We start from the raw sequence: 20,715 nt of genomic DNA, 5'->3' as shown, positions 1-20,715 counted from the left end.
TGGTGGCGGGCGCCTATAGTCCCAGCTACTTGGGGGGCTGAGGCAGGAGAATGGCATGAACCCGGGAGGCAGAGCTTGCAGTGAGCTGAGATCGAGCCACTGCACTCCAGCCTGGGCGACAGAGCGAGACCCAGTCTCTAAAAAAAAAAAAAAAAAAAAAAGAAAGAAAGAAAATAAAAAAAGTCAGGAAACAACAGATGCTGGAGAGAATCTGGAGAAATAGAAACACTTTTACACTGTTGGTGGGGGTGTAAATTAGTTCAACCATTGTGGAAGATAGTGTGGCGATTCCTCAAGGATCTAGAACTAGAAATACCATTTGGCCCAGCAATCCCATTACTAGGCATGTACCCAAAGGATTATAAATCATTCTACAATAAAGACTCATGCACACATATGTTCACTGTGGCAGTATTCACAATAGCAAAGAGTTGGAACCAACCCAAATGTCCATCAATGATAGACTGGATAAAGAAAATGTGGCACATATACACCATGGAATACTATGCAGACATAAAAAAGGATGAGTTTATGTCCTTTGCAGGGACATGGATGAAGCTGGAAACCATCATTCCCAGCAAACTATCACAAGATCAGAAAACCAAACACTGCATGTTCTCACTCATTAGTGGGAGTTGAACAATGAGAACACATGGACACAGGGAGGGGAGCATCACACACTGGGTCCTGTCGGAGGTGGGGGCTACAGGAGGGATAACATTAGGAGAAATACGTAATGTAGGTGACAGGTTGATGGGTGCAGCAAACCACTAGGGCACATGTATACCTACATAACAAACTGCACGTTCTGCCCATGTAACCCAGAACTTAAAGTATAATCATAAAAATAAAAATAAAAAAATTATTGTGGCACTATTGTAGTCATTTGCAGGTACACACAAAGTGGCAAAAAATTTGAGTCACACAACCCACATGTTTCCAACTGATGTCAAATAAAGTGACACTCTGCTTCAGCTCTTATACTATAAACACAAGTTTCCTTTTCACGGTTTATTTAGTACCACATTTGTCACATTTTGGTGCTTGTTTTTGATGACTTCAGTCCTTCAAATGATCATCAAGCACAGTGCTGAAGTGCTGGCTAGTGTTCCTAAGAAGGTTGTGACATGCCATAGGGAGAAAACAATGGGTTAGATAAGCTTTGTTCAGGCATGAGTTAACAGTGCTTTTGGCCAAGAGTTCGACGTCAATGAATCAACAATAAATGAAGTATCTTTAAACAGAAACACACATAAAATGAGGCTATGTATTGATCAGTTGACAAAATTGTTGTGACCAGAGGCTTACAGGAACCTAACCCCTTACTTCCTCTAGGAGTAATAGTTCAGTGTTAGCTAATTAAGTATTTGTAGTGACTTTACAGAACATTACTGTTAATAACTAGAATTGTCTGTAAACACTAAAGTAACTGTAGGTAAAATAGCATGATATCTAGGATTTGCTTCAAAATCCATTAGTGGTAGAAGGAGAGAGAGAATAGAGGTTTATAGATGAAACAAGATTGTCCGTGTGTTGATAACTGTTCAAGGTGAGTGATGGGTACACGAGTGTTCAATAATGTATTCTCTCTGTCTTTGCATCTAATTAAAATTTCTCCATAATAAAAAGTAAAGCATATACACACAACACATCTACACAGACAGTCCAAATGGGTACTACTGGCATATGAAGTATAGTAGTATAATTCTTTAATTGGGCAGGATTATTCTTTTCATTTCAAGATGTTTAGCAATCTCAGCCTCTATTCACTAGGTCGGTAGCACAACCGGTTGAAACCAATAATACAGGGCAAACTTTATCCAAAAAGCCATTCATCACGGCATTATTATACTATTTTTAAAAATAGCCCTAATGTACAACAAAATTACAGTGGTTAAATACAAATATGCTATATCTAAATAATAGAATATACTATAACCCTAAAAATGATATTATACTTCTTTCTGAGGGGATGAGCTAACAACACAACACTGACAATCCCAAGTCACACCACATTAAATAAATCCTTATCAGCATGGGAAACAACAGCAGCAGCCATAAATGAACTATAAATTTGACAAATATCTTAAAAACAGAAGCATAGACTCATAGAGACAAATAAACCGAGGGAGAAAAACTATAATCCAAAACCTAAATAGAAGTCTACAGAAGAGGATGCTGCTTTTCATAGAAGAGGCCCCAGAAAGGCTTATAAGTACCCAATTAGTAAGTATAGAGAGCAGAAGCCCACAGGAATCAAAACAATTAATTAAGAAACCATTCACCAAAAAAAGCTGAGCCTCCCACTCATCCATGTTCAGAACAGCTACCTGCAGCATTTGCCTACATCAAATGGCCAAAAACTGCATTCAAAATCATTTGTCCAGAAAAGATCCCTACTCAGAGTGTTGGGCAAGCAACAGAATTAGAAAAGGGCCTGACTTAAAGGACCTAACTCTCATTCACTACAATGAAGTCTATCTACTACACACCTTTCAGGAAAGCCTGTGGATAGGCCCTTCCCCAAGCCTTACAAAAAGCCCATAGGCAAACCTTACATTCAAAGGAGAAACCTTCTGGTAAACAGATATACAAAAAACACAAAGCAAACCCATATGAGCAACATACCTATATAAAGCAAGGCAGTGAAGGTTCATTATACACTTGAAGAAAATCAACAGCATCAAAGAGAAAGACAAGGAAATTTTTTTTAATTTAAAACAGAGAAAGACTAGGAAGAACAAACAGAAGTTACCCAACAGAAAACAAAGATAATGCAAGAAACAGAAAAGAATTCAAAAATTATAATCAGAAAGATTAAAAAATTATTCTATTAAAGAAAGCTACTTTGAAAAAGGAAAAAATTAAAAAATAAGTAATTTTTAGAAGTAATAATTTGATTTCTAAAATTTTAAAATTCAAATAATCAAAGAGAATCTTCATCCATTTGGGCTGCTATAACAAAATACCTTAGATTGGGTAATTTATAAACAACAGAAATGTATTGCTCACAGCTCTGGAGGCTGAAAAGTCCAAGATCAAGGCACCAGCAGATTCAGTGTCTGGTAAGGGTCTGTTCCATGTAAATGACACCTTCTGTATCCTCACATGGCAGAAGAGAAGGGAGGCTCCTTAAACCCCTTTATAAGGGCACTAATCCCATTTATGAGGGCCGAGCCCTCATGATGTAATCACTTCCAAAAGGCCTCATCAATATTATCACATTGGGTATTAGGGTTCAACATACGAATTTTGGGGGGACACCAACATTCAGATCATAGCATAGAGCAAACAGAAGAATTCCACTTATTGATGGAACAAAAAGTACAAAGGCCACTGAGGAGATACAACAAAAGATAAAAAGATGGAAAACATGAGATAAGAGAGAAAAGAGAGAAGAAGGTCAAATCCATAAGATCCAACCTCTAACAGAGTGCTAAAACAAAGAATACAATGAAGAAAAAATATGAGAACATTTTATCAATGAAAAGAAAATCTTAGGTTTTGAAATGGAAAGGCCCACCAAAGGCTAAGAAGGATAAATTTTCAAAGGACCCAAATAAACAGATGATGTTGAGATTTTACAATAGTGCACCTAAAGAGAAAATCCTACAAGCTTCAAGCAAGTTATCTAGGAAGAAACAAGAATCACACTGATGGGCTCCTTGGTAGCATTACTGTATGCTCAATTTAGATAACAGAACTATGCTTTCAAAAATCCAAGGCAAAAATACATGGACATAAAATATTATGTTCAGCTGAAGTGCCAACTAAGCTTAAGGGCAAAAGAAAGACATTTTCGGTCATTTAAGGAGTCAGAAAACGTACCACCTGTCCATCCTTTCTGAGAAAAAAAATACTTGAAAATAATCCGACAAAAAAGAAACGGATAATCTGGCATCCTAGAAACTGTGTAATAAGTTCAGCTGTACAACGAAAAGAAAACCTATGATGACAAACGTGAGTAGGTTTAGAAATTAATTCGTCCAAATCCATACCATAAGCCAAAGAGGAAAAGGAAAAATGTTCTCAGCCTGTTATACAAATGTCTGACAAAGGACGTAGACATTCTTTATAAGAAAAAGTAAAGAGAAGGGCAATGAGAAATTCCAGGGGGGAAATGCTGTCCAGGAAGTCCACGGTTTAAAAATTAAACAGACCTAAATGGATCATAATTTGGATAACTAATGGACTATACAGAAAGATCATCTATTTGACCTTGATATTTAGAATATTCTTTTTAACAGACATAGGTTGAATATTCAGCATATCATTTTCACTTCTCAATGGATGTGAACATACTACATGGTTCTCTAGGAAGTATTTACATAGTCATAAAATTATAAATGCCACTTATCGTTTCCAATTTCAAAAATAGACTCAAAATCCAAAGTATCTCACAGTGTAATCTACAGACATCAGAATTACCTGGAAATGTTATTTTAAACTTTATTTTAAATCTAGGTCCCACCCCCTAGAGATTCAGTAGATCAGGTAAAAGGCCCAGAGATCTTCATTTTAATAAATTCTCCAGGCCGGGTGCGGTGGCTCACGCCTGTAATCCCAGCACTTTGGGAGGCCGAGGCGGGTGGATCATGAGGTCAGGAGATCGAGACCATCCTGGCTAACAAGGTGAAACCCCGTCTCTACTAAAAATACAAAAAATTAGCCGGGCGCGGTGGCGGGCGCCTGTAGTCCCAGCTACTCGGGAGGCTGAGGCAGGAGAATGGCGTGAACCCGGGAAGCGGAGCTTGCAGTGAGCCGAGATTGCGCCACTGCAGTCCGCAGTCTGGCCTGGGCGACAGAGCGAGACTCCGTCTCAAAAAAAAAAATAAAATAAAAAAAATAAAATAAAATAAATAAATAAATTCTCCAAGTATAACTTGTGCACACTAAATTTTGACAGTCATAGTTATAAAGCAGTAATCTCCAAAATTTCTCATTACACCTTATCAACAAAAGACTTTTGAACACCTACGTCTAATATACATACGTACATTTATTTATAAATTTTATGTTATATGAATATATACTCTGTATATTATAAATATGAAAAACAGACATTGTAAAGAATGAGGAAAATGACCTAACAATAATTTAATATCTGCTTCTGTTTAACCAAGAGAAAAGTAAAAATTATGGATAGGTTTAGAAAGTTTTAAAAAATAACAAATAAAAGGAGAGGAGAATAAAGAATCACGGAAATGACAATTGAAGTCCCAAGGCTTCTCTAGAAGGCTTATTCTACTAAAAAAACAGAGGGAGTCTGAGAGTGATCACATTTCATCTCAAAAATGATTGAGGAAGTAACAAGGGTACTTCAACAAAAGACTTAATTCTGATCATCAGAAGGAAAAAAATGATTGATGAATTAGACGTACAAGCAACATGAGAAGAAACTGATTATACTATTTTAAGTGTTCATAATAACCAAAGATGGTAAAATTAGACATACTCAGGCATGTATCACAGATTTTTAACAAGTCAAATCTCAGACAACGCTGGAATGATCCCAGGACTAGAGACTACAAGGGTGAATATAATTCAAGTAATAAAAAATGATATTCAGATTTTAGGATCATGATTCCAATTTTTAAAAAAGGAAAAGGTATCCATATGCTTAGCTTCTCATTTAAAAAGTATAATGAAATCCATTTACTAAGAAAGCAAGTGTTTTCATTGCTGTGCTAAGTGTCATGGGAATACTGTATACCAAATGTTTGATAGAGAGAACCCAGCATCATTCCACTGTTTCTAATAACCAAGGAGAGGCCCAACAATCTACAGTTAAATGACTGGGCAGTTCCTACAGGATAATATGGAGTGCTAAGTAAAATCCTTTAACCTATTCCAGAACACTTACTCTACACTGGCAAGGTCATCCCCGGCTTTCAATTACACACTGCAATTATCTAAGGGGAAAACTGAGTCACGTCTAGTAAGTTCCCTATAGAGGCAGTCCATGGAGTAAAAAGTCAAACAACAGGGACTTCGCCAACTTTTAAGGTTGAACTGTAACAGCTCAAGACACACACACACACAGTATTTAAGACATAGTTTTATCTCTTAGCTACACACTCTCCAAATATGTCAGAATATGAACAGGAACAGGGCATACCTGTACTTGGTGAACTGGCACCCTTCATAATAAATCCAACAATTTAATTTTTAGCTCCACATTTATTCAGAAATTAAATGAATCTCTTTAGGAGATTAATGATAAGTACTAACTTTAATAATGAAGAGAAACAAACTCAACACACCAAATACTCATGAAAAAATAATTTGAGAGCTCACCTTTCCACAACCAAACTGACCACTTGTGTGAGATCTGGGTTTGTAACCTGGAGACGTTTCCACAAAGACCATACAAATTCTTTATCAGCCTTAAAGAAATAAAAGAGAATTTAGATGCATTGCTTTGTAGTGGTAGTGAAATAAGATACTACATTAAATTTTAAAATGAAAAAACAATTACTTGATCCCTAGTTGTATAACTACATCAACTGATTCTCTTTAAAGGAATGGGGTAAAACTTTATTTTAAAAAGTTATTACACAGATAATCCATATTCACTTTTACTATTTCTATCACCTATATTTTGGGATGCAACTGTTGAAATGCTAAATATCTAGTTAAACTTGCTCTAAAAGGAAACTTCCCTCCCTGCTGCCCCATTTTCAGCTCCGCTTTTATCAAAACTCCTTGAAAGAGTTGCCTGTAATTACTATGTCTGTTTCCTATCTCCCATTCACTCTATAATGCTTCCTAGTAAGATTTTCCTAACCACCATTATGCTAAAATCATTATTCAAGGTCCTCTATATTGCCAAATCCAAAGGACAATGGGTAGTTTCAGTCCTTATTACCTAGGTTAGTTGTTATTAACCTTGGCTGACAGGTATCTCTTTTGAGGAGCTTTTAAAAAATAGGGATGAATTAGAGATTCTGATTAATTGGCCTTAGGTTAGAGCCAAGCATCAGTATGTTTTAAAAGTGCCTCGAGTGAATCTGTGCACTCTGGGTTGAGAACCACTGCCCTAGGTGACCTCATATCAGGCCCATGATTTTAAGTACCAACTCTACACTGAGACTCGCACATTTCTATCTAGAGCCATTTCCTCTACTCTTAGGTCCAGACTTACATCTCCAACTGCATATTCAATAATTCCACTTGAAAATCTAATAGATATCTTAAATTTAACTTGTTCAAAAAAAAATTATTGGTTCCTTACCCTCTCACAAATCTGCCCCTCTCCCTCCCAGAAATTGATACTGCCATCTATTCATTTATTCAAAGATCTAAAACAGTGGTGTCCAATCTTTTGGCTTCCCTGGGCCACAGTGGAAGAAGAATTATTATCTTAGGCCATATATAAAATACACTAACACTAACAATAGTTAATGAGCTAAAAAAAATTGCAAAATAAATCTCATAATGTTTTAAGAAAGTTTAAGAATTTGTGTTAGGCCGCATTCAAAGCCATCCTGGGCTGCATGCGGCCCACCTATGAGCCGGGTGTTAGGGTTAGGTTGATCTAAAACTTAGGAGTCAATCTTGTTTATTCTTCTTTTTTTTTTTTTTTTTTTTCTGAGACAGAGTCTTGCTCTGTCGCCCAGGCTGGAGTGCAGTGGCGCAATCTCGGCTCACTGCAACCTCTGCCTCCCAGGTTCAAGTGATTCTTCTGCCTCAGCCTCCTGAGTAGCTGGAACTACAGGCACGCACCACCACACCCAGCTAATTTTTGTATTTTTAGTAGAGACAGGGTTTCACCATATTGGCCAGGCTGGTCTCGAACTCCTGACCTCATGATCTACCTGCCTCGGCCTCCCAAAGTGCTGGGATTACAGGCATGAGCCACCGTGCCCAGCCAATCTTGGTTATTCTTTTCTCCTCATACTTCATATCCAAATCATCAATAAACCCTACTGTCCTTATCTACATGATAGGCAAATTCTGACCACTCTCACCACTTCTACCACTATCGCCCTAGTCCAAGTCAATTCCGTCTCTTGCCCAGCTATGTATCATGGTCTCATAGCCTTACAACTCAAAACTCTCCAGTGAGTTTCCATTAAATTAGGAAACTAATCCAAACTCTGTGTCAAGGCTACAAGACTCCATATGGCCTGGCCCATATACACCTCCCCAACCTCATCTGTCACTTTCCTCCTTGTTCACACAGACTTTCTTACTCTACTTGCTCTACTTGAACCAGGGCCAATGCACATACTGCATCATCCATCACACTTTCACATAGAGTATTCCCTCACTTCATTCAAGCCTTTTCTTAAATAATATCTCAAGTGAATTCTCCCCTGACTACTATCACAGCCACCAAAACCCCAAGTCTCTAGCAACCCCTTTTCCAGTTACAATTTTTTTTCACAGCACATTTCATTTAATAATCCTGTATGTTTAGTGATTTGGTTTTACTTGTGTGGCAGATATCTCAATTTCTGTCTCCGTCATCCATTCTCTCTTTTTAGTTACAGAAACAATTCTGCCCAAGTAACAGACCAACCTCCCTTGCCTTATGGGTTATATGACTAAGTTCTGTCAATGAAATATAAGTGCTGTTGGAAACTTAAAGGAAATCTTAAAATTAGACTTGTGTCTACCCATTGTTAGAAATATTCTTCCCAGTCTGTTGCTGCTTATTTATGATGATTTTTTTGAAAAAGCAAGTTATTAATTTTACATACTCAAATGTATCCATCTTTTCAATTATGGCTTATGGATTTTATGTACCAGTTAGAAAAGCCTTCTCTATTCCAAGATTAGAAATATATTTACCCATTTCTTCTTCTGGAATTTTTGTTTTTTAATATTTTTTAATCAACAAATAAAAATTGCATATATTTATGGCATACAACATAATGTTTTATGTATACATTTTAGAATGGTTAAATCAAGCTAATTAACATAACCATTAGGGCGAGCACAGTGGGTCACATCTGTAATCACTTTGGGAGGCCAAGATGGGAGGGGATCATCTGAGCCCAGGAGTTTGAGACTGGCCTGGGCAACATAGTGAGACCCCCATCGCCACAAAAAACTTAAAAATTAGCTAGCCATAGTGGAATACGCCTGTAGTTCCAGCTACTCAGGAGACTGAGGGTGGGACGATTGCTGAGCCCGGGAGGTCAAGGCTAGAATGAGCCATGATCATGAAACCATACAGCCTGGGCAATAGACCAAGACCCTATCTCAAAAAACAAAGAAAAAAACATAACCATTACCTCATACACCCACCATTTTTTTGTGATGAGAGCACTTAAAATCTATTCTCTTAGTAATTTTCAAGTGCACAATCTATTGTTATTAACTATAACACCATGCTGTACAGTAAGTCTGGTGATATGAAAAACAGTAAATTCTTTTGTGAACAATAAAATGTTACAAATGGATTGTGGAACTATGTTATATATGAATTTTGTGAGTTTTTCAGTTATTTAAATGCTATACTATGGTCAATTTGGATTACACCTAGAATTACTAAAAAAACTTTCATATACAAAAAATAAAGTCCCCCCCCGAAAAAACACAGAACTAGTTTCCAAACTGTTCCAGACATTAATACAAGGAAACTATTATCAATCACTCATATTCTCTTTATATTTTCCCTTCCTTCAGGCACTTAAAGATGTTCTTTTTAAATAACAAAAATAAAAACCTTGGCCAGGTGCGGTAGCTCACCCCTATAAGGCTGAGATGGACAAATGGCTTAAGTCCAGACGTTCGAGACCAACCTGGGCAACACAGGGAGACAGAGACCCCATCTCTACAAAAAATGCAAAACTTAGCCTAGTGTGGTGGCACACACCTGTAGTCCTAGCTACTCTGGAGGCTGAGGTGGGTGGATCCTTTGAGCCCAGGAGGTCAACGCTGCAATGAGCCATGATTGCACCACTGTACTCCAGCGTGGGTGACAGAGGGAGACTGTCACAAATAAAATGAAAACAAAAAATAAAAACCTAACATTACTCACTATAAAATTCCTTTTTTTTTTTTGAGACAAAGTCTCACTCTGTTGCCCAGGCTGGAGTGCAGTGGCGCAACCTCAGTGCACTGCAACCTTCGCCTCCCAAGTTCAAGCAATTCTCCTGCCTCAGCTTCCCATGTAGCTGGGATTAATGGTGCATGCTGCCACACTCCGCTAATTTTTGTATTTTAGTAGAGACTGGGTTTCGCCATGTTGGCCAGGCTGGTCTCAAACTCCCAACCTCAAGTGATCCGCCCATCTCAGCCTCCCAAACTACTGTCATTATAAAATTCTTTATTCTCAGGCCAGGTGCAGTGGCTCACATCTGTAATCCCAGCACTTTGGGAGGCCAAGGCGGGCAGATCACAAGGTCAGGAGTTTGAGACCAGCCTGACCAACACGGTGAAACCCCGTCTCTACTAAAAATACAAAAATCAGCCAGGCGTGGTGGCATGAACCTGTAATCCCAGCTACTCAGGAGGCTGAGGCAGGACAATAGCTTGAACCAGGGAGGCAGAGGTTACAGTGAGCCCATATTGCACCACTGCACCCCAGCCTGGGCGACAGAGCGAGACTGCATCTAAAAATAAAAAATAAAAATAAAATAATAATTCTTTTTTCTCACTATAGAACTTCCAAACAGAATCAAATAATAATTTTTAAAAATTAAAAATAAAAATTCCTAATCATTTTCACAAAGTTTATTAAACTTGGGCTATGAAACAGTTGACTAAATACTAAATACTAGGTCTAAATTTCCCTGGAGGTGGATTGGTTTTGTCTTTCATCAACTGACCTGGAAATAGATACCATCTATACAAACACAGACACCCCAAATTGCCATTTTTCACTGGGTACCTAGTCCCACAAAAAATAATTTAGTGTTGGCAATATATTAAGCCCTCAATTGACCTCTACTGGAGGAATGAACTCAACAAACACTTGAAACTGTTTCCTAAATCTAAACAAATATTTGGTCATCAGAGCTCAGGGCAAAGGATGTCAAGAGTTTACTTACAAAATATGGCACCAGGTAGCCACTTAGTAAATTATTAGCATGAAAAATAATTTCACAAAAAGACTCGCCAAGTAGAATACAGCTACAAACAACTGGTGGAATTACACAGTAAGTTCTCAAATTTGTTTTTCTTTGTGAATAAATGAAGTTTTAACACATCTAAATTTCTAACATAAAATATAACTGGCTGACTTCTCTGATCACATACAATTCCAACATCGCCTGCTTCAAAAGTTGGTTTCATCATTAAAGTGGATGAGCTTTAATGATGAAACTAATTTCATATTTCATTTAAATACCCTAATTTTTTTCCTAAAACTGGCTTATAGGTTTAGTCAATATTTTTGCCTGATACCAAAAAATAAGCTTTATAAATGCTATATAAACATATTACTCTTTCTATGTAAACATAACACTTTTTTCTCATCTCACTCTATAAATGGTGATAAATGTACAAATACACATGCCCCAGCATCCTTTATCACAAACAGAACACATTCTTGAAATATATAATCAAAATTAAAAGTGTAGTGGAGTTAGGTTCTAAATTAGTGAAATAGGGCATTAAATGCCATGGATGCAAAATTACCCTTTGGAACACCCTTGAAAAATTCCTTAGGAAAAAGCTACATTTGGAAGCTTACCTACTACCCTCAGTAAGTCCAATACAGATAGCTTTTCTTCCCTCATTGAAATTAATCACTTTTTCTTCATATAAGCATTATTTATAGTTCAGTTGCTAATCAGGGGGCCATATTTTTTTAAAGTTTAATTAGATAATACAATCACTTAGAGTGGGATGAGATGCTGATATTAAGAGAAACATTTGATTGCTTTCTATTACATGCTTATTCTGAGGCATTCCAATGATGTAGAATGGTATGGGGAATTACTCAAACTTCACCAAGCACACATCACTGAATTCCCATAAGTTGAATGTGAAAGCAAAACAAATTAAATGAAGCTACTACTTATGACCATGGACTAATTAGCAGTGTTCTTTTTCCTAAACTGTATGTTTCAAGCCTTGTTGGGTTCTGAAATTAATTTAGATCTGGACAGCATTTTTTAAAGGAATAGAACTGAAAAAATATCAGCCCACACAGTATTAGGGCATGTATTCTTTCTGAAAATATATGTTTGTATATGTGTGTACTTACTAGATTGAGATACAAAATTTTACTTCGAGTTGTAATTTTCAGCAGTTTTAATGCTATGTATTCTTGGGTACTGTGATCTCTAGCTGAATAAATAAGCGGGAGAGTATACTTTAAAAGATATAAAAGTGAATATTTAATCACCTAAATGCTTTTTACAAAACAATTGGGAGTTCAATTACTATTTTTCCCCAAGATTCCCGAAGAGCAGGAGTCTGATTTGACTAAGATTTTTATGGTGCGGGATACTGCCTACAATTATATAAGAGTATTAATATTACAAAATCTAAGAGATCATCATTCTAGACTATTATGACCATCTCTGTATTCTTACATTTGCCAAGAGTATGTCAATCATTTTCCTAGTCTATATATGTCCGAGGTCACAAAAGCCAACACCATGTTTGGAGCCACATTTTTAAAGAATGTAAGTATTTGTGGGAAGAGGTTCATCAGGCTGTTTCCAATAGACTGACTTCCTTAACCAAGTCGGTCATAAAAAAGTATCTTAGCTCTTTAGCCAGCTAAAGGCCTAACTATGTGGGGAGGCAGAAGTGGGAGGAAAGAGTGCGGAAAATATGCCAAAGAGTGTCTTAGATTAGGACTCAGAGTATCAAAGGCCTTTATCATGGGTTCACATCTTAAAACTCCCCAAAGGGTGAGGTCTGCAGATGACAAATGCTTCAATTCATTGTTGTCATTTATTTATCCCTTTGCTCCTTATCCAACGAAGAACAGAAAAATGGTAAAACGAAAAGAGGGCACCATATTAAATGTCCCAACCTTGTTTAACCAAAGGCACATTCAATTTGAAGATGGTCCCATTTTTACACCCTTCACTCAGTCAGCAAGGACCTATAAAATGGGCAAAAGAATCCAACAGAACAAACTATGAGAGAATGAATTTCTGTAATCCCAGCACTTTGGAAGGCCAAGGCTGGCGGACCACGAGGTCAGGAGATCGAGACTGTCCTGGCTAACACGGTGAAACCCCATCTCTACTAAAAATACAAAAAATTAGCCAGGCGTGGTGGCGGACACCTGTAGTCCCAGCTATTCGGGAGGCTGAGGCTGGAGAATGGCGTGAACCCGGGAGGCGGAGCTTGCAGTGAGCTGAGACTGCACCACTGCACTCCAGCCTGGGCGACAGAGAATGAATTTCATGAACTGTTTTATTAAACTGATGATACTGTTCACAAAGTTACTTTGATGTTCAGCAGCTCCTAATTGGTTTCTAAGTTGAAGACAGAGTGACTTAAAGATCTACTGTTCAGTGAGTTTCCCACATCCAATCTCCCAACCCTATCTAAAGGTTCTGGTAAAATCAAAAGAGATGATGGTAAGGATGCAAAACTAAAGGAAAATTCAATCTCTTTGAACATGAGTATAGTCAAGTCCATCCTTACAAAAACTCTACAAACAGGAAAGTAATTTTAATGCAATTGATTTAGCAAATGTTTTTCACTGGCAAGATCACATGAAAATGTGATTTCTCACTCAAGGACCGCGGAATTACCATAGCTGGTTAATAAACAAGTACCAAGCATCATCTATTGTTAAGTTCCCGGCTCTGAGACTTTCTAAACGTTACTCGTCTGTGTTTACAACTTAAGTTTGACTGGGTAAAAACAAAGCCAAGTGTGGGTTTGAAATTTTAAAAACAGGCTCCTTCATCGATGGATTTTACTCTAACCGAAGTGTTTACACTTTCCTGTTCATTTCAACTAGTGGACTGCATGTCACTCCTGGGCCCCCGGCAGGTATCAGCTACCGTCACCACCAAGAACTTGGGCTTGGGGGGGAAGCGGAGAGGATGCGACTGCGAGTATCCAAGTGACCAAAACCAAACCCGGGCGCGGAGGCGAAGCCTGTCTGGCCGCAGTTCGGAAAGGGGCAGGGGCCCGGGTTTGGGGAGCCGGGCGCAGCCGCGTCCCTCCAGCCCCCGGCCGCGAGCGAAGCAGGGTGTGCATCTGCCAGGGAGCGTCGCTGGGCGGGGTAGGTCCCAAGGCAGAGGGAGAAAGGCGCGCCTCCCCACGGGTCCCGGCCCCGCTGTGGTGGGGAAAGGGGGACTGCGAGACTCCTCGATACCTGACACAGGGCCAACTCCTCCTTTAGGCTGCTCAGCTCTTCCTCCAGCAGCTGCGTCCGGGTCACCATCGCCTCCTCTACCGAGATGCCCTCTAGCCGTCTGGACCCCATGGGCGCGCTGAGGAGGGGAGCATGAGCCGGAGCTGCCCCCCCAGGCCCTCGCCGGCCCCCTGACCCTTCTTCACCCACCCAGATTTTATCACTTTCGTCCGCGACCACCTCCCGCGCTGCGCCGGCAAAACCCGAGGCCTCGCTGCGCATTGCGTGTACTTCAGCTCCCCGCCCAACACGTGGGGACCTGGGGCCCAGCTGTCGCGCTGGGGGCGAAGGGTGCGGTGAGGGAGGCGAACGCGCCGCCATGGCTGCGGCTGCTAACGGGTCAAGTTCCCTGTTGGAAACTCCACCTCCCTTTCCCCAACCCGGCGAGCCCGGAACGCCGAACCGCGCATGCGCGAGGCTTTTCCCGCCTTGGCCCGCGGTGTCCCGTGTTCTCTGGTCCTGGCCGGCTTCCCGCGGGCAATGCGCCCAGCGCGAGCCTTGGGGTACGCACGCGCCGTGGCCCGAAAGGGTAAGGCCGGTCCGCCGGGCAGGCCATCCCAGCGTCCTGTGCCTGAGTCCTTGGCCAGGATCGCCTGGATTTCCCGCCCACCTAAAGCCCTGCCTGCCACTTACATCCCACCTCTTAAAGCCTTCCTTGACAAGCCCCCAGCCCCAAATGATCCTTAACTGTGAAATCCCTCTCCTTCAAGGCCCCTGCCAACTCGTGTGACACGTTTCATTGACCGCCCTGGAGTGTCAGTTACACGGCTAATCTCCCCAGCCCTGTTGTAAGCTCCTTGAGGATCAAGGAATACGTTTTACACTTAAGTGTTTTCTTCACACCCCTTGGCAAAACTGCTTTAGTACAGCTGACATCCAGCTGACTAATGTCAAGGAGATGTGGAAAGCCTTGTGCTGATCTGGGACTATCAAGCAGGTTTCCAACTTGAATGATGATCCTTTGTACACCCTTTGTCTTTTGTTTTGCAGGAGTCATGATTTCCTTTGAGTTTTTATGTCAGCTTCTTTATGCGTTGGCTGGATATCAGAGGAAGTGTAGCCCACATTGCTGAACAGTTTGGGTCCTTGGAGCAGTTTGAAATCAGTAATTTGGAGCGTGGATGAAGAAACAAGACCTACTTTATCTTTTGTTCTCTTTTTTTTCTTTTTCTTCTGGCTTTCTTTATAAACTTCAAATAGGTAGTAATCGTATCTTTCTTTGCCCTTCAAATACTTTGTTACTATTGATAAGATTAATGAGATGCATATTGAGCTGGCACCAGAACATCCCTGAAAGTTAGAACTGCCCTCTTCTTCAGAAAGGGTTCCAGAATACTTGGGGAAAGCTGAGATGGGGGTTGAGAGCAGAAGTAGAGAGATGACCACTTTACTGTTAACTTCATTTAACCAAAATATCACCATCTCTGCATGAGAATCTAGTCAGGATGCCAAAAGACACCCTCCCAATTAGAATCCTGCCAAGGCAACCAAGATAAGTGGACTTCTTTCAAACTGAAGGTGAATTCCTCACAAAAACTTATTAAAGAGTACATTAGAAAAAGTATGTTTATAAGCCTGTCTTAGAACTAGCTAACCTACTGAACATTTACCATATGCTGAGTCCAGTGCTAAGCACTTTTCATATATGAACTCACTTAATACATATGTCACCTTCAATTAGATTATTATATATCTCCATTTTTACTAGTGAGGAAACAGACTTGCAAGGTTACTGTAACTTCTCTGAAGTGCCATGTCTGGTATCAGAAAAGCTAGGCTTTGAATTCACTGAATTCCACTTAACTCTGAAAACCTGTACTTTGATCGCTACCCTGTCTCCACACCTGTGACTTGAAATACAACATTTGGTCTTGATAGTCTGTGAGATTTCACTAGACTTAAGACTGGGAAGTCTAACCACATAAGTTACGTGTTTGGCCCCAAATCAGTATTAATGCACATTTTTAATTGCTGTATGTCATTCACTCAAAAGGACATCATTTCACCTGATCATAAAAAGATCCTTTTGAAAAGCAGTGGTATAAATATGTATATGTGACCTCCCAAAAGGATAATATCCTGACTCTTTGACTAGGCATTTTTTTAAATTTTGTCTTTATTGGAGCAAAATACACAAAATACACAACATAAAATTTACCATCGTAGGCATTTTAAATGGCTACAAATAGGCCAGGCGTGGTAGCTCACGACTGCAATCCCAGCACTTTGGGAGGCCGAGGCTGGTGGATCACTTGAGACCAGGAGTTCGAGACCAGCCTGGACAACATAGTGAAACCCCGTCTCTGCTAAAAATACAAAAATTAGCTGGGAGTGGTGGTGCATTCCCGTAATCCCAGCTACTAGAGAGGCCACGGCAGGAGAATCATTGGAACACGGGAGGCAGAGGTTGCAAACAGCCAAGATCATACCACTGCACTCCAGCCTGGGTGATAAAGCAAGACTGTCTCAAAAAATAAATAAATAAATAAAATGGCTACAAATAAAAAACAATTCAGCAGCATTAACTACATTCACCATGTTAGGCAACCACCACCACTATCTGGTTCCAGAATATTTTCATCACCGGAGGCGGAAACCACATACCCACATTAGTCTCTCCACATTCTCACTGCCCCCGAGCCCCAAGCAACCATTAATTCCCTTTATGTCTCTACGGTTTTGCCTGTTTGGGATATTTCATATCAATGGAACCATATAATATGTGGCCTTTTGTGTCTGTTTTCTTTTATTAGCATAATGTTTTCAAGGTTCATCTATGTTATGGCATGTATTAGTACTTCATTCTTTTTTATAGCTGAAAATATACCATTGTATGGATATCCTCCATTTTGTTTATCCATTCATCTGTTAATGGACCTTTGGGTTCTTTCTGCCTTTTGCCTATTGTGAACAGAGCTGCTATAAACATTCACGTACAGGTTTTTGTCTGAACATTTATGTTCAATTTTTTGTTTATATACCTATGAGTAGAATGTCTAGGTCATATGTTTAATTTACTGAGGAATCACCAAACTCTTTTCCACAGTGGTTGTGTCATTTTACCTTCCCATAAGCAATGTATTAGCATTCTAATTTCTCATCATCCTCACCAACACTTATTTTTTGTTTTAGTTTTGTGTCATTTGCTTTTTTTAAATTATACTTTAAGTTCTAGGGTACATGTGCACAACGTGCAGGTTTGTTACATAGGTATAAATGTGCCATGTTGGTGTGCTGCACCCGTTAACTCATATTTACATTAGGTATATCTCCTAATGCTATCCCTCCCTCCTCCCCCCACCCGATGACAGGCCCCAGTGTGTAATGTTCCCCACCCTGTGTCCAAGTGTTCTCATTGTTCAATTCCCACCTATGAGTGAGAGCATGCGTTGTTGTTTGTTTTTTATGGCCAGTCTAGTGGGTGTAAAGTGCTGTCTCCTTGTGGTTTTCATTTGTATTTTTCCCCATGACTAATGACAATGAGCATATTTTCATGTATTTTTTGGACATTTGTTTCTCTTCTTTGGAGAAATATCTATTTATTCAAGTTCTTTGCTATTTTTTAATTGGGTTATTTGTCTTTTTGTTGTAGAGTTATAAAAGTTCTTTACTGGCAGACAATTTTTAAGAAAAGAAACGTGCACATTTCTAGAAGTATGCATAAGGAGTTCTTTCTTGTATTAGTTATTTGCTGAAATGACAGAAACGGATGAAATGTTAAATACAAACACTTATGACTCAGAAGGATAAGTTAAATATCTGCACTGCTATGTGAATAAAAATGTGCAAAACAATCAAGGTGTTTTTCCTGTTCAACTCTTTGTCCTAATATTTAAAAGTGATAGTGTCTGTTCTGAAGAAATACATAATGAAGTCTGCTGAGGATTAAGTATATTAGAATAGAGAAACACATAATTCTCTCAATATCATCACTGTATAGTCGAAATCTTGGGAAATAATGGAAGAAATGTGCCAATTAATATGGTACTTAAATTGCCTCTTTTACTTTAATTTTTAAAATTTATTTTTAACTTCTGTTTTAAAAGAGAAAAAATGTATTAGCCGTTTCTCAGCCTTTATGTTTCTTTGTTTCCAGAAAGAATGAAGAATTTTAAAACCCATGTATTTCTGCTTTACCAGTTTTGTGTAATCTTTATTTGGTCAGCATAATTTAATTAAGTTTTAAAACACTATTAGGTATTGGTAAGACCTCAAACATCTTAGATTTCTTTTCATATCATTTTAGGAATTTATCTCAGTTTTTAGTCTTTGCCATGTCCTAGAGATTTAAATCAAGAATCACTTGCTTCAGCATCAAAAGAAAAATCCATAAGCTAGAATGTGCCGATGTGATGCTTGAGTCAGTAGTAGATGCATCATGACAGCCTAGTGTGGACAAATCTCAATCCAGAAGTTAGTAGAGGTAAATAAAGAGGATTGTTTTGTGCTTTCAATTACCGCAATTTTGATTGAGCAATTCCTGGCAACTATTGATCCCCTGATCAGTCCTGAGAATGCTCTAGGTCACAATTATAGGTATACAAGGAGATATCATCAGTTCCTTTTCAAAAATTATGACCCAACAGAGCTATGAAAGAATTTCATTTTCCATTTTCATCTCCAAAGGTTGTCAAACAGTGCAAAACTGTTCAAACATCTGTTGTTTTTTCTAATTATAAGCAAAAATTATCTCCACTGAACCCCAACTCTAAGTGTGTGGGTTGTTCGGTGGGGGCACAGGGGAAGTAACCTGTAAGCCTTAGGTTTGAGTAACTTGTATCAGTTTATTTAGTTCAGAAAAGTTTGGAATATAGTGCGTTTCCCTGAGAAGTTCAGTTGGTTCCACAAAACACAGGGTTGCATAGTTTCAGCTCTTCATTTCAACACACGACCACAGTGAGGCAACACCCTACGTTTTCAGCCTTCTCATTTATATTTAAATTTCCTCCTCCCTAATAGATGGGATTATACACCCATGGTCCTAGGTATTTTAATAGAATATTGTTTATCCTCAAAGCAGTATTACAAAAGTACTCCAGTTCTTCCAGCCCTTTTTCTCCCCTGATTTTTTCCTAAACATGAAGGCCTTCTTTTTCCACTGCCAATGACCTGGTTTGACATTTCTGTCTTGAAGATTCTTACTTATTCCACATTACAGTGGTCTCGCACACTTACACACACATACACAAGCATTTTCCCTGTTGAAGATCCAGAATGCCATCTCTTCAGTCACCACCACTTCTTTGCCTTAGTAAAGGGGCTTCTATAACCAGAGAAAGAGCACTTTTTCCCAACCCAACATCATCCTGACGTGTCACATACCCACTTATGACACATAGCAGACTTTCAATAGCAGCAGCCAAATCCAAACTTTCTGATTTTCTTAGTCCCTACCGGTAGTTGACTTTTATCCTCATCTTCCACGTTAGCAATAGGAGATAAACTTTATCAAATGGCCAAGGAGATGGCAGCAATATTGAATGGCAGAATCCCACTTCTACTGAATGTGTTTAAGTAACCCACACAGAGGCACTGATTCCAGTCTCAAGGATGAGAACATACATGTCATCTTACCATCAGAGGGTCAATTCCCTTTCTGCTTGGTGAGGTGATCAATCAGAGTACAACACGAAGTTAATGGCAACTCATTGAGTACTTCAAGGAACAGTTGAAACAAGGACTAATTACAAAGGTAAGAGTAGGACTGAGAGAAACACACCATAGCCTGAGGCTTCTTTTTTTTTTTTTTTTTCTGAGACGGAGTCTCCCTCTGTCGCCCAGGCTGGAGTGCAGTGGCTTGATCTCGGCTCATTGCAACCTCCACCTCCCGGGTTCACGCCATTCTCCTGCCTCAGCCTCCCGAGTAGCTGGGACTACAGACACCCACCACCGCCCCCGGCTAATTTTTTTTTGTATTTTTAGTAGAGACGGGGTATCACTGTGGTTTCCATCTCCTGACCTCGTGATCCGCCCACCTTTGCCTCCCAAAGTGCTGGGATTACAGGCGTGAGCCACAGCGGCCGGCCACCCTGAGACTTCTTAAAGGATAGGAAATGTTAGCACCCTAGGCTTGAAGGGATGAGAGAAAGAGCAGCTAATGGTACCAGGAGACAGAAGGGCTGGGTACAGACAGCTGCCTGGTGAGAGGCACAGACTCTGGAAATTCGGACCCAGGGAAACAAATGCTCCAACTTCTTCCCTCATACCCACCTCCTCCTGTACTCCACTTGCTGAACCCAACCAGTTCTTACAGGTCAGCCCACCAGGACGTGGAGCAGGGTGGGAAACATCAGGAAACAATCTAGAGGGGCAAACATGATATATCTAGCTCAAGAGGCCAAGGTAGTCTAATAAGCAACAATTGGGATGCGGCCCAAATTGCATCCTATTATAGACAATAAATGATTCAAAGTAACAACTCTTATGTT

General features: G+C 39.6%; 1 protein-coding gene across 18 annotated transcripts in view, besides 1 other annotated feature; it reads right to left on the bottom strand.

The window, feature by feature from the left end:
• The window catches only part of CNTLN (centlein), a 393,595-nt gene extending 378,961 nt beyond the window's left edge, over positions 1-14,634 (bottom strand). For 15 of the 18 annotated variants that reach the window (XR_007061321.1, XR_007061322.1, XR_929282.3 and 12 more), the window contains exons 1-2: positions 14,249-14,634; positions 6,298-6,386 (exon numbers count right to left, since the gene is read on the bottom strand). Coding sequence is in view for 15 of the 18 variants with exons in the window: in XM_017014839.2 (XP_016870328.1) it covers positions 6,298-6,386; positions 14,249-14,608 (449 nt within the window). In the remaining 3 variants the exon portion in view is untranslated. The remainder of the gene's footprint in view (positions 1-6,297; positions 6,387-14,248) is intronic. The other 3 variants (XM_006716793.5, XM_047423519.1, NM_001286985.2) reach the window with 1 other exon arrangement.
• Positions 13,790-14,353: an enhancer, noted in NCBI's record as "H3K27ac hESC enhancer chr9:17135319-17135882 (GRCh37/hg19 assembly coordinates)". NCBI's record gives its function as "activates a minimal SCP1, AML or CMV promoter by ChIP-STARR-seq in primed H9 embryonic stem cells {active_cell/tissue: H9 hESC(primed)}" and the evidence as "EXISTENCE:reporter gene assay evidence [ECO:0000049][PMID:30033119]".
• Positions 14,635-20,715: the final 6,081 nt, after the last annotated feature.

This window comes from Homo sapiens, chromosome 9 (assembly GCF_000001405.40).
Source record: "Homo sapiens chromosome 9, GRCh38.p14 Primary Assembly".
Lineage (NCBI taxonomy): Eukaryota > Metazoa > Chordata > Mammalia > Primates > Hominidae > Homo > Homo sapiens.
The sequence above is the reverse complement of the archived record's forward strand: the minus strand, read 5'-3'. Positions and strand labels throughout refer to the sequence as shown.